Genomic DNA, 13,138 nt, shown 5'->3' with positions numbered 1-13,138 from the left:
TATAAAAACGGAATTCTGTTGAAGTTTGTGATTAATGAACTGTCCTTATTTAAAAGAAATGAAATGAGAAATGTCCTGGGAAAACTCAATACCTCCTTTGCCATGCTTAGGGTACTTAGCCTGTAGTAAAAACTCAATAAATATTTGTTGGTTGACGTTAGCTGTATTTTTTTTTTAAAGCTGGAACATATTATTTCCTCACATGGGTGGATATTGCATGTGTTTATTGCCAGAGGGTAAATGACTAGGTTGTCAGGATAACTTTGCTCAGGAAGTATAACTGTTGCCTGGGTTTTTACTGATTTACCTCTAAAATAAAGTATTCCATGGGTTCCTGTAAGAAGTGGGAGACGCAAAGGCCAATTCGGTGCAGGTGGAACTTAAAGTTTCCGTGAATTGAATATAAAGCTCTTTAGTAGGTAGAAGAGTTCTAGATGGCCTATAAACCAAGTTTTAGCAGAAACGTACTTATTTTTTGTTAAGCATTACTGCTTTCATTGTTGTGCATTTAAATGGAAATATATAATATGAAATATGTGTGAAATAACTTCTCCCTTCTCAGCAAATGAAAGCTATTCTAAAACCTTGAGAATTTCCATAATAAGGGTTTCTTAATTCATGTATATTCTTAAAACATATAAAATTTTTACATATACTTTCATAAGAGTTATATGAAGATGCAAAAGTCTTCCCTAGTATGTGAAGAAATGGGGTAGTACATCATTAGTTGATATAGGACTGTTCTGATGTGCTTTCTTAGATGAGGTTTATACTGATAGCAACAGTGTCGAAGCAGAACTATAAAGGATGCTATTAGTTGTTAGCCCTCTTTATTCACTAAGAAAGTAACCATATCCTCCGGTCCTCTTGAAGTCAACGGTAGAAAATAACACAAAACAGGCCAGGCGCGGTGGCTCACACCTGTAATCCCAGCACTTTGGGAGGCCAAGGTGGGTGGATCATTTGAGGTCAGGAGACCAGCCTGGCCAACATGGTGAAACTCCGTCTCTACTAAAAATACAAAAATTAGCTAGGCATAGTGGCGGGCGCCTGTAATCCCAGCTACTCAAGAGGCTGAGGCAAGGGAATCGCTTGAACCTGGGAGGTAGAGGTTGCAGTCAGCCGAGATTGCACCACTGCACTCCAGCCTGGGCGACAGAGTGAGACTCCTTCTCAAAAAAAAAAAAAGGAAAAGAAAATAACACAAAACAACACTTTTTTGTTTCTAGGATTTACATTAGTTTATTTACATTGTTTTATTCCTGGGATTTACATTATTTAGGTGCTGTAGGTCTTTGGAGAAGGCACGTAGGAAACAGGCTCACATTCCTTATCTGTTAAAAAAGAAAAACAAAAAAAGCAGGAGGAGTAGGGGGCGATAAGCTTGCTTGACCCATGACACAGGGTGGTTTTGAGGGCCAGTAGGTTGAGTACCCCTTATTTGAAATACTTGGGACCATAAGTGTTTTGTATTTCAGATTTTTTCAGATTTTAGAATATTTACATCGCTTGAGCATCCTAAATCTGAATATCTGAAATTCAAAATACCCAATGAACATTTCCTTTGAGTGTCATGCATGTCAACACTCAAAAAGCTTCAAATTTTGGAGCATTTCAGATTTCACATTTTCAGATTAGGGATGCTCAACCTGTATAATAATAGGATGACGAAAATGAGAAGTACTACACAAATGATAGTTTTTTATTACATATATTGATACCAAATGCCCCTACATGGGAACCAGTGTACCTCTTTCAGTTTTTATTTCTCACAGGAGCCAACATAGTTCTGAACACATAGTCAGCCCTTGACATATTAATAAATATATGGCTCAGGACTTTAAGAAGTATGTATTTTGCTTTTTAAAACAGTTGCCAGCCGGGTGCGGTGGCTCATGCCTGTAATCCCAGCACTTTGGGAGGCCGAGGCAGGTGGATCACCTGAGGTCAGGAGTTTGAGAGCAGCCTGGCCAACGTGGTGAAACCTGTCTCTACTAAAAGTACAAAAATTAGCTGGGCATGGTGGTGGGCGCCTGTAATCTCAGCTACTCCAAAGGCTGAGGCAGGAGAATTGCTTGAACCCAGGAGGCTGAGGTTGCAGTGAGCAGAGATCACGCCACTGCACTCCAGCCTGGGAGACAGTGCGAGACTCCACTCCATCTCAAAAAGAAAAAAAAAAAAAAGTAGTTGCCAAAATTTTGGAGCTTGCTGATTTCAAATTACATTTAATAAAAGAATGTCACTCACATCCTGTTAAATGCCTTAGTTCAGTTTTGAACTAGAAATGCTTTCTCTGGAGGCAGTATCATGGGCTGGTGGTTGTGCCTAGTGTTCTTTACACATATGCGGCACTGTGGTGATCCATCCATTTGAGGGAATAGAATGGCATCCCAGGAGAAGCAGCCTGGCTGTGTTTGGGTACCACCTGTGATACTTCCTATGTGTGTCTTCAAAAGTAGGTATAGAAAGAAACAAGGAGGGCCAGGCCTGGTGACTCAGACTCACACCTGTAATCCCAGGACTTTGGCAGGCTGAGGGGGGTGGATCACCTGAGGTCAGGAGTTTGAGACCAGCCTGACCAACTTGGTGAAACCCCAGTCTCTACTGAAAATACAGAATTAGCCGAGTGTGGTGGTACATGGCTGTAATCCCAGCTACTTGGGAGGCTGAGGCAGGAGGAGAAATCGCTTGAACCTGGGAGGCGGCAGTTGCAGTGAGCCAAGATCCTGCCATTGCACTCCAGCCTGGGCAACAAGAATGAAACTCCGTCTCAAAAAAGAGAAAGAGAGAGAGAGAGAAAGAGGAAGAGGAGAAAACATTGCTGAGGGGTAGATAAATGTTGGTCAGAAGGGAATGGTGGTGCTCGAAGTACTTTTCAGGCAGGACTTGACGGGAGCCCAATGCCAGGCCATCTGGTAACCACCTCTGCAAAGGGAAGGTAGGAACATGAGTGAATGGGAGGCTGTGGTCACTGTCTTCTGGCTTTATTATCTAGTCTTCAACCTCTCCATAAGGGGAAAGGGAAATTGCCATTAGTAAGAAAGCACTCTATTATTTGTGTGCACAGTTGCTGTAGTCTCCCTCTGCTTTTTCTGCCCGACGTCTCCTCGCAACAGCTGCTGAAAGCCACTGAATCCTCATGTGCCCTCCCTGCTGCTCAGTCCATATGTCTAATCAGTGTATATATGGTATTTCTTACTCCACTAATTCTTGGCTAGAATTCCAGCCAAAAGGCTACAATGAAATTTCTGTAATAGACCACAAGAAACCTAAGTCCCATCATTTCTCAGAGAAATAACACCAATTGGTAAATTCTCTATTTCACACTTGCCTCTCTTGTTTTTTAAGCTGCTTCCTAAGTGAAGAAACTCTAGTGTCGCTCAGTGCATTTCATGAAGGAGTTAACTTTGGCCCAGATTACCATCTGACATGTGGCCTAGTCCTTCACACACACCCTTGACCAGTGCCCCATATTTAAGACAGCGCAGTTCCTGCATTTTCCCCCTGCTGGAAGGGAGAGCAGATAGGAAATTTCAGGTCATATATGCATTAAGAGTCAAGGATATTATTGAAAATTCTTGCTTTCCAAAAAGCTTTCCCTGGAAGGAGCCCCTAATGTCAATCCATGGTCTTTATGAATAATAAATGCACACAAAAGAGATTCATAGAGACATTGCACACTGAGCCACTTGTATGCCGCTTCCTGGAATGGTTCCAAATCCAGTGGGAAAGCGGAAATCTAGAGGATTACTTTTTGCTTCTCCTCTGCCCTTTCTCTTTCTCTCCATTCTCTGTCTTTGCTCTCTTTGCTTCTGGGGCTGTTGTAGCAAACAGAGTAAGTGGGAGTTGCCTTGAGGTAAACGGTGTCCCCTTTGAAATCCTGCTAGACTTGTTTTAATTCTGTGTGATCATGTGCACAACACAGCGTGTGTTGAGATACTACTGTGGACCAGTGGACTGATGTTCCCATGTTTAGAGTTCCTCCCCACCTTTCCTTAAGAAAATATGCTTCCAGCATATGTCGAGAAATAAAATGTTTGCCCTGGCATTCGACACTTTAGCCACGTAGTTCTTTCCTGTTAGGAGAGTGAGGGAGTAGAAATGAAATAAGAAAAGTTGCAGAAAAGGGAAAATAATCAGGAAGCTTTCTCACCCTTTTAGTAGTAATATTAGCTTTGCAAATCCAGAGTCTTACAATGGGGCTTAGCGGAGACATTATAGCAAATACCAAGTGTCTTGTCTTTGTAAGGGGTCATACAAGGGAATATAGAATAAAGATGACCTAGTCCCTGCTCATGAGGGACATATAAGATCATTGAAGAAGATCAGAGCAGTACAAAGGAACTAAAGGCAGAATAAGATGCACCCAATGGGATAGCTTTGTCTAAGGTACCCGTGGAATCAAAGGAAGGTGATATCATGAGTTCATACCGGTGGTAGCGTACCCTACTTGGACAACTTGAACAAGGCTTCAGTTTGTAGAGGGCAGAGTTGTGGGTATTTCAAGTGAAGGAGATGGTGTGAGCCAAGAGTCAGAGGTGGCAATGCATGGTGTGTTTGGATGTAATAACGGTGCTTAGTTGCACCAGGGGAAAAGAGAGCCTTTGGGAAAATGCTTAGAATTGTGCTTTTTCAGATTAAGTGGTTTGAGACAGGAATCCTGTGGAAGTTCATGGCAGTAGTCCAGGAGGAAAAAAAATCAGGTGATAACAGGAAGAGTCAAAGAGTGGATGGGTTGAAACCTTGCAGAGAGACACTCTCGTGGTCTTTGGAAACAGAACACGGAGGGGAAAGAACTGATGCCTGGGACTCTCCACCTTCACAAACAGAAAACCATACCACTTTCACTCTTATTTTTTCACCCTAATTATCTTTTTCCTTTAGTATTTCACAGCCACTGGAAAATAGTAAAAGAATATTGTTTGTGGGACAAAAAGAAAAATATAAATAACAAGATTTAGTCAATGAAAAAGGTTTTCTGAGGGCAGCCAATAGGTCCTGAAGTAGTGAGAAGCTACGAAAACTGTTGGCTATAGCACAGAAGTGCAAACCCAGGCATGGAATGGGAAGTGGCTGGTCTTTGCTAATAGAGGGCCAAATTCCTGCTCAGGATCAGCCACCTCTTTTTCCTCCGGAGTTGCCTAAAAAAATAAAAAAAATAATAATAAAAAACAAACAACAGAGAATGGTATGTATCCTTAACTAAGTCTCACTGAGTTTAGGGCATGCCCTACCTTTGGGCACTCAGGGAATCCCATTCTCAGCCCCTCTTGCTGGTCATCTTTGGCTATGGGAAGGATGGCACTGTAGGTCTGTTAGGAACTTCTCCGTAACTGCAGTTCTGGGCTCCTAATGCATAGTCTCTCCTTACTAGCTTTATTCTGCTAGGTGACATCTATTGATACTCAGACAAGGCTGTTAACTTGCTCAAGTCCACTCTGCCCCACCTTTTCTGTGAATTATTTCCTAATCTTTTGGTGACTACCAGAGGCATCACAATACAGGTAGAAGTGGATAAGTATTTCAGCCAGCCGGGCAAGAGAACTGGAATGCTGGCTCCTTCATGTACAAGCAGTGTGACTTATGCCAAGTCACCTAACCACTCAGGGACTCAGAAAAGCAGGGCAGTTGTCTTGAGATGATTAAAATGAAAGAATGTTTGTGTACCAGCTATCAGTATCACAGTGTCTGCAACTACTGTAGGCGTATAGTTTTTTTCTTCCAAAGAATTTGGGATTTTTTTCCTAACCTTGCTATTTATTTACTTTGCTCTTTTCTGAATCTGAGCTTTTAGACATGAAGCATCCCCAAGGTTTACTATAAGAAATACTAGCTCATAAAATAAGCAACATGTGAAGAGCTTCTGGCGGGTGCAATTACTGGAGCTGCAGAGCTTTTACCACGCTGCTGTGCTTGTTACTCATTAACACAGCAGCTCCGTAAACTTACGTAGATACATTCCTGAAGGCTCCACAGGATATGTTTACTCTACTAACAAACTAAGTAATCAAAGTAGAGTGTCCTCTTGGACAGCATTATCACTGTCCACCACATACTAGTAGTGTTTATTTCTCCAGATCGTTGGCTTGTATTTCAGGATAAGCCTCATGCAGAGCTCATTTTGTCATTTATATTAAAGATAAATAGAGGAGAAAGAGAATGCTTTTTGAAGTTAGGTGACTTTAGTTTTCTCATGGTTTATAAAACGGGCAGAGATTTGGGAAAAGGAAGCAAATATTTTGGCTAATGTGGTCAAACACTCTTTTCTGTTGACAAGTTAAGATAATCAGGTGTTCTGCATTTTGCCACTTTGTTACTTTATAAAATACTTTTTTTTTTTTATGAGCCCAGCACAATAGGCTGAACTCAAGGAAAGCCCATAGATACAAGGACATTCACAACTAATATTAGAGACAAAAGAATAATAAGAATCCTGTAACAGCCTTACTCTGTTTATAGTGTTTCTTTTTTGGAGGACTCTAGCTTTTTAACACTTGGAAGAGCAGTCACAGGGCTATCTGAGGCCCTGGGGAAAGATGGCTACTGCCTCTTATGGCTTTTATGGTGCAATTTGATCTTTTAAAATGTGACCTTTTAAGCACTTTGCATTACAGCTGTGAGCATTATCAGTTGAATTTAATGGGTGAGACCGGGGTCCCTTTGAGATTGCTTGTACCAAGCTTGCACTAAGGTAGACTTTGGGATGCTATGGCATCGGAATGGTGAGCATTTTCAAGGAGGAGCTTCTGAGAAAGCAGTTTCTGTTTCATGAATTGGCATGTTGGTGGGTGGTAACAGAAGTTTGAGATGCACATCCTGTTCTTGAAGGCATTTGTACTTGGCCCACAAGACTAATGTACAAGAAACAACCAGTAGACGGTAGCTTGTGACCCAAGTTTATGAGCTCCGAGTGTTCAAGCATAGGGCACATTTATAAGAACTGAAGCTTTCAAGAGGAGCAGCATTGCAGTTGGGTGTTTAAGGGGGTACAAATGAGGTTGCTAGGTGAAACATTTAAAAGATGTAGTGCTTTGGGAGGCCAAGGCAGGCGGATCATTTGAGGTCAGGAATTCGAAACCAGCCTGGCCAACATGGTGAAACCCCGTCTCTACTAAAAATACAAAAATTAGCTGGGCGTGGTGGTGGGCGTTTGTAATCCCAGCTACTCTGGAGGCTGAGGTAGGAGAATTGCTTGAATCCAGGAGGCAGAGATTGCAGTGAGCTGAGATTGCACCACTGCACTCCAGCCTGGGCGACAGAGTGAGACTCCGTCTCAAAAAATAAATAAATAAAATAAATAAGTAAGTAAAAAATGTAGTGATAAAGCTGGCTAGTCTAGAACCAAGAGGATTTGCTAAAGAGAAATATTTTAAAATGGAAGCAACTGAAGAGGCCTTAAAACCATCTTCTTCGGTCTCTTGTTTTACTTCTGGTGAGCCCTGGGAGGTGAAGGCTACAAGGCTGACAGCACAAAGCAAGCTGTTGTGAGCCTGGGTTATGGGGAAACCTTGAAAGGCAATGCAGTGTAGAATTTAGGTACTTGGATGCCTTGTAAGAAACAAAGTGTATGGTGGGAGGACTTTTTAGGAAGAATTTAGTTTAGGAGCATGAACTGTGCTACTTGGTGGTATCGCCTGAGAATCCGGCATTGTTATTCTTGCCATTGAAGAAATAATTCTTCATACTTACCCCTTTGGTTTCTGGGTCTTTTGGCTGTTTGCTTTTCTGTCCCCTTCCCGCGCCCCCCCCCCCCCCCAATCTTCAGTGCAATCGCCTCTGTGTTAATGCTAGGTAAGGATTACACTTCCCAGGGCAATTTGCATTTTATTAGTAACTGGAACACCACTTCAAGAGAAAATAATGCATCTAAAAGTAGAGCTTCAGGCCACAGTGACTTCACATTTTAAGGCTGGTAAAGTGTCTTTCTTGTATCCCTAAAATCAGGATATACAAGTAGAACAGATTAGAAGTGGGGGAACCTAAAGATGTTGTGTGTCTGGCACTTAGTAGGTACTCATTTTTAAATTAATGAATGAATTAATGAATAAGGCTTAGGGATGCAGAGTTTTTAGGGAGGGAATAGGAAGAATAGTGGAAATACATACCTTTTAAAGGAGGGATTATAAATGTTAAGTTTTATATATTTTTTAAATTAAAAAATTTAATTATAAATTTTAACAGAGGAATTTTAAAGGAGGACTTGGTGACTATGTGGTCCTGAGACATGTGTAGAAGAGAGCATTAAAATATATATATACATAGTTACAGAATCTAGCTGTTTAGGAGAGTATCCCTGACAGAACCAGGACCCAGGAGAGTCCTGTGTTTGATCATATGAACACACAATCATCATTTTTGAGTACACATTTGAAAACCTTCCTTCACTTCACCTGTCTACAAGTTAACTTATGTGAATCACTGCCCTGCATCCTGATTCTTCTCCCTAATATCCTCTGTTCAAGTTTTTCTTCTATTTCTCTATGCCCAGGGAAATAGGAGGAAAAGTAGGGCTCAGTATGAATTGGGTGCTCAGATTTCTTACAAAAGGATCCAAAGAATTCTTATCCTTTCCTTATTCTACTTTTATCTCCACTTGAATTTGTCATGTCAAAATTTCTTTAGGAAAACCTCTTTACTTCAGAAAAAAATATATAGGCCATTGTTTGGAAAGTTATGCTTTCAATGACTCACACTTTTTGCCTCTCTTTTGCACTGGATATGCTGCCCTTGGTTATGCAGAGATAACAGGCTGACTTTCCTCCCAAAAGCATTCTTCCTTGACAGACTGGTTTGCTCTAATCTGTATAAACACTCTTGCCTGCTGACCAGTAGTCTTGTATTTATGAGGCCCTTAGAAAACACTGCAAGCTGCAGAGTGACCATGAATAGCAAACTTAATTTGGTTTAATGTGTTTTGGCTTGCTTGACCTCACCAGAATAAAAATGTGCCTGCTTAAATTATTGTATTGGGACTTAAAAAAAAATTCTAGAGACATTTATCTCATTGGAAGATTCACAGGATCATTTTAGCAAGGGTTTAAGTCCACGTTTAATGTCAGATAGACTTGAGAAATGTTTAACATAGAGTTTTAATCACAGATTAGGTTTTTGTAAGTTCTGAATTTTAAGTCTGAATTACTATTTTTTTCTTGCTACTTTTTTTTTTTTTTTCTCTAGACAATTGGCGGGCAACGACCTTTCTTTTATCCACCCAAAGGCCTTGTCTGGGTTGAAAGAACTCAAAGTTCTGTAAGTAATGCAATTTTAGAGTTTCACAGCTGGCTGTGTATTTTCTTTCTGCGTAGTCAACATGCTTGGAACTAGGTTAAGCACAGTTTCTTTTAGTTCAGGATTAAAAGATTTAAGGAGTGGCCAGTGAGTAGTATGAGAGGCCAGAGTTTGATTTAGGCAACCCTGCATCTAGATTAACAAAAGTTAAAACTCTAAATAATACGTATTCTGACCTCCAGTATATTACGGTTGAATGTTAGGCTTTTTGGGTGCCTAATGCATTGGAGCAAACCCTTACTTCAGTTTTACTGGTAGGGTTTTGTTTCTACTTATTTTATAGCTATAAGAACTTTGAATTACCTGACTCTAAAAGGGAAAAAGGCTTACAAGTGCTCCAAATGTTAAAATAATTTTAGAGCTCAAGGGAATTCAGATGCCTACAATTTGTATAGCCAGCGAATGGTGAGGAAATAAATTCTTGGCAGTGGTCAGGAGCCTGGAGTATGGCAGATTAGGAAACAGGTGAACTGACTGCCCCCACTTCTGCCACTACCATGCTGGATGACCTTCAGAAGGTCATTAGACCTCTCTGGTTCAGTGAGCTAGGTGGGACCTTTATCTCTTCTATTCTGTGGTTATGACTCACGTCAGGCAGTCATTTTATTAATGTGACAGGAATGGCTTCAGGCAAAAAAATCAAAAGAATTTCATTTTCAGTATGGATCTATGCATCTATTTGGCAGGCCCTAACTAGTAGATGATCAAAGCTCTATTTCTCTTCTGGCCCCACATGCATTGAGGACATGCCTGCTGTTCCTTAAGAGCTTGGGATCTGCCATCCGCTTGAAAAAATTGGCTTTACCTAATGTCCATGTTTCCGGGCTCTGCTTTATTCCAATTTGAAAAGGCATTAGGAATTCCAACGGATTTGCTTATTATACCTCCCAGTTAACTTGTTATAGCTCCTAATTAACATTAACTAATAGCACCCAGGGTGATGAACATTAACTAGTGTGCCTTAATTACCAGAAACAAAACCACCCTTGGAAACATGGATTACCCAGCAAGTCTGTATTAGGGCATGGCTTGGGATAGCAGTATAGATTTCCTTTCTGGCTTTACAACAAGTGCTTCTTGAAGTTTTGCAATTCTCTTGTCTTAGATGCTTTCCACCTCCACCTCCCCCCCATTTTCCCATTGGAAATATTTTTTGAAAAAAAAAAAAAAAAGGCTCTGAATTTTTCTAAGAAAAAATGGTAACTATCACTTGTTACTCACTAACCAAAAATTTTCTTTCAGAACGCTCCAGAATAATCAGTTGAAAACAGTACCCAGTGAAGCCATTCGAGGGCTGAGTGCTTTGCAGTCTTTGTAAGTAACTTCTTGGTTTCTTGACTCACCAAGAGACTACTCTGGCTGTTAAAGATGTAAATAACTAGAATTGTAAGGAAAGAGGAGATTTATCCTTTCATCTGAGATAAAAACAGAGATAGCTAGTCAATGTTATCAAAACGTCCTTTGGTGAGGGAGAAGGAGGTGGTTCTGTTTACCTCTTCTCTTGTCTTAGAGGCTGAGAGAAAGCTACTGGGTATTCACTGCTGGGTGTACTTCCATGAACTTGTGCACTGCTGGTGATCAGCATCCCTTTGGAACCAGTTATGTGTGTACAGAAGTTTTAGTGTCTTGTGCCTTGACTGTCAAGAAACAGCCACAAAGAGGTTTCTGTTTCGTGTGGTAATGATAATCAGAACAAATCGATTGTAATTCCTCAATTTTGTCAAGGGAACTTCTCGGAAAAAATGAAAAAGTATTCTTCAAAACAAGGAACTTCATTAGCTTCTACTAGAATAATGAATACAAATTTGCATTGCCTCACTTCATGTCCTAAATACCAAATGCAATGGGACTCTGGGGCATAGTTTCTCTAAGTGTGGTACTTTGACCACACTTTGCAACAGACTCACTAGGGGGAGACTGCTAAAATGCAGAACCCTAGGCTATATCCTAGAAGTAATGCTGGTTTTCTTTTTAAAGGTAGAATTCAGAAGTCTAATTTTAAATAACAAATAATCTCCCCAGAAGCACTCTGAATAAAAAATGTTAATAGTTATCACCCTTATGTGTGCTGGTATAAAATTGTGTTTTAGCGACATCACATATTTGCATACAATTTGTCTCTTAGGTTTTGTATTATACTTTGAAATAACTGCAAATAGTAGGAAATGCACGCAAGTTAGAAAATACAGCGTGAAAATGATTGAGCTGCTTGTCCCATCAGTTTGCTAACATAAAGCCATTTTTAACGGCACCAAAGAGACATCCCTGGAAATTATAAATTATAGGTTACCATTTGATTTTAGATTAGATATTCTAGTAGTTAATGAGCAATGAATGTGAAAATAAAAATATATGCTGTAAAGTTAAACTTTAAACTGTATCTAACCCATAAACAAGGAATATCCACGGTGTTGGCCATTCAATTCTTAGTTGAAATGAAAGTTTAATTTAAGGTGGTTGTATTAAGTAGCTTCCTTCACTAAAATGGTAAGTTATGGAACATAAGGATTTGTTTTTCACCACAGCTAATTGGGTATGTTCTAGGTAGACTCTTAAAATGAATCAATGGGAATGAGTTCCCTTATAGAAATGTTATTCGGCTGACTTCACACACTCTCTCACCTCGGGTGGATATACACAGGACAAGTCATCTGACCTCTCTTGGACCTGAATTCATCAGGCATTTTAAATAGTCATGTTTTCTTTTGCTTCTTAAGAATATATTTTACTTCAAGACCTTCATATTGAATTGTCATTTTGTAAGATTTAATAATCAAAATACTCAATTATTTTGTCTAGTTTAAAGGGTAATAAAGAGAAGACTAAAATCTCATTTTCAACTGTAGAACAGAAAAATTACCAAAAAAATACAAATATTCTCTCTAATTTGTGGTCAATAAGTACATTAAAGTACGAGACATTTATTGGTAATGTAGATGATTTAAAGTGATGTTTTTCACAGAAATCATAGGTTTCTCTTTCATGTTTTAGAAAAGCATACTGTGCTTATCATTCATGGAGCAAATTGCTTAGTTTAAATTATCTCCAAAATTGGGATGAGTGTATGGAGTGGAGGTAAAACAAACTTTTTTTTAAAGGCTTTGGGATGTTTTCATATACATCAGAAACACAAAGAGCTGCTCTGTGTCAGGCCTGTTTTCTTTAAGGAGGAAATGTTCATACGTTTGTTAGTAGAGTGGGTGCAGTGGTGAAGTTAGATAGAGTTAAAGTTCTCTCATGGTGTAAAACAGTCTTATCAGCACTTGAGTCATTTTGAAAATCTGTTCTTCAGATCTGAATTACATGAAAGATTTCATTGTGGTTTTGAATAGTGCTTAAAAGAAGCAAAGTTCATTAGGGATTGAAATTGACCAGAAGTGGTTTGATGCAAGTGTATGTTTGATAATGACTATAAAATCTGAAAGCCAATTGTTGATACTAATAAAAAGGTAGCATAATTGCCTCCCATAAAGTTAAAATAACTAAAACATTACCTCAGCAGGGTATTAAAATGACATGTCATAATTATCTCCATTAGAAATTTTTTAACATCAGATTACATTTTTATTGACTATTAAAAGATCTCAAAGATTAACTTTCCTAGGTTTTTCTCAGTTTTAAAATATGTTTATAACACTTACATTATTGGTAAGTTAGAACAGAGAGAAAGGAGATCTTTTGATTATACAGGTGTTTATTGATAACAAAGACTTTCAACAGTTAAATATCTGCATTTAATATTATTTTGTTACTGTAGTTTGTTTAAACAAGAAATTTAAAAATACATGAGTTTCAGTCAATTGTAAAATAGGCTTTTGAGAATAGAAAATAGAAGCATGTCTTCCAGACA

At 39.3% G+C, this 13,138-nt stretch overlaps 1 protein-coding gene across 2 annotated transcripts in view; it reads left to right on the top strand.

Annotated features, from left to right (window-relative positions):
• Positions 1-13,138, top strand: part of LGR4 (leucine rich repeat containing G protein-coupled receptor 4) — a 106,830-nt gene that overhangs the window by 71,095 nt on the left and 22,597 nt on the right. For both annotated transcript variants that reach the window (NM_001346432.2, NM_018490.5), the window contains 2 exons: positions 9,178-9,249; positions 10,531-10,602. In NM_001346432.2, coding sequence (NP_001333361.1) covers positions 9,178-9,249; positions 10,531-10,602 — 144 coding nt within the window. The remainder of the gene's footprint in view (positions 1-9,177; positions 9,250-10,530; positions 10,603-13,138) is intronic.

The sequence above is a fragment of the Homo sapiens genome, chromosome 11 (assembly GCF_000001405.40).
Source record: "Homo sapiens chromosome 11, GRCh38.p14 Primary Assembly".
NCBI classification, from domain to species: domain Eukaryota; kingdom Metazoa; phylum Chordata; class Mammalia; order Primates; family Hominidae; genus Homo; species Homo sapiens.
This window is presented reverse-complemented; position numbering and strand designations above follow the sequence as displayed.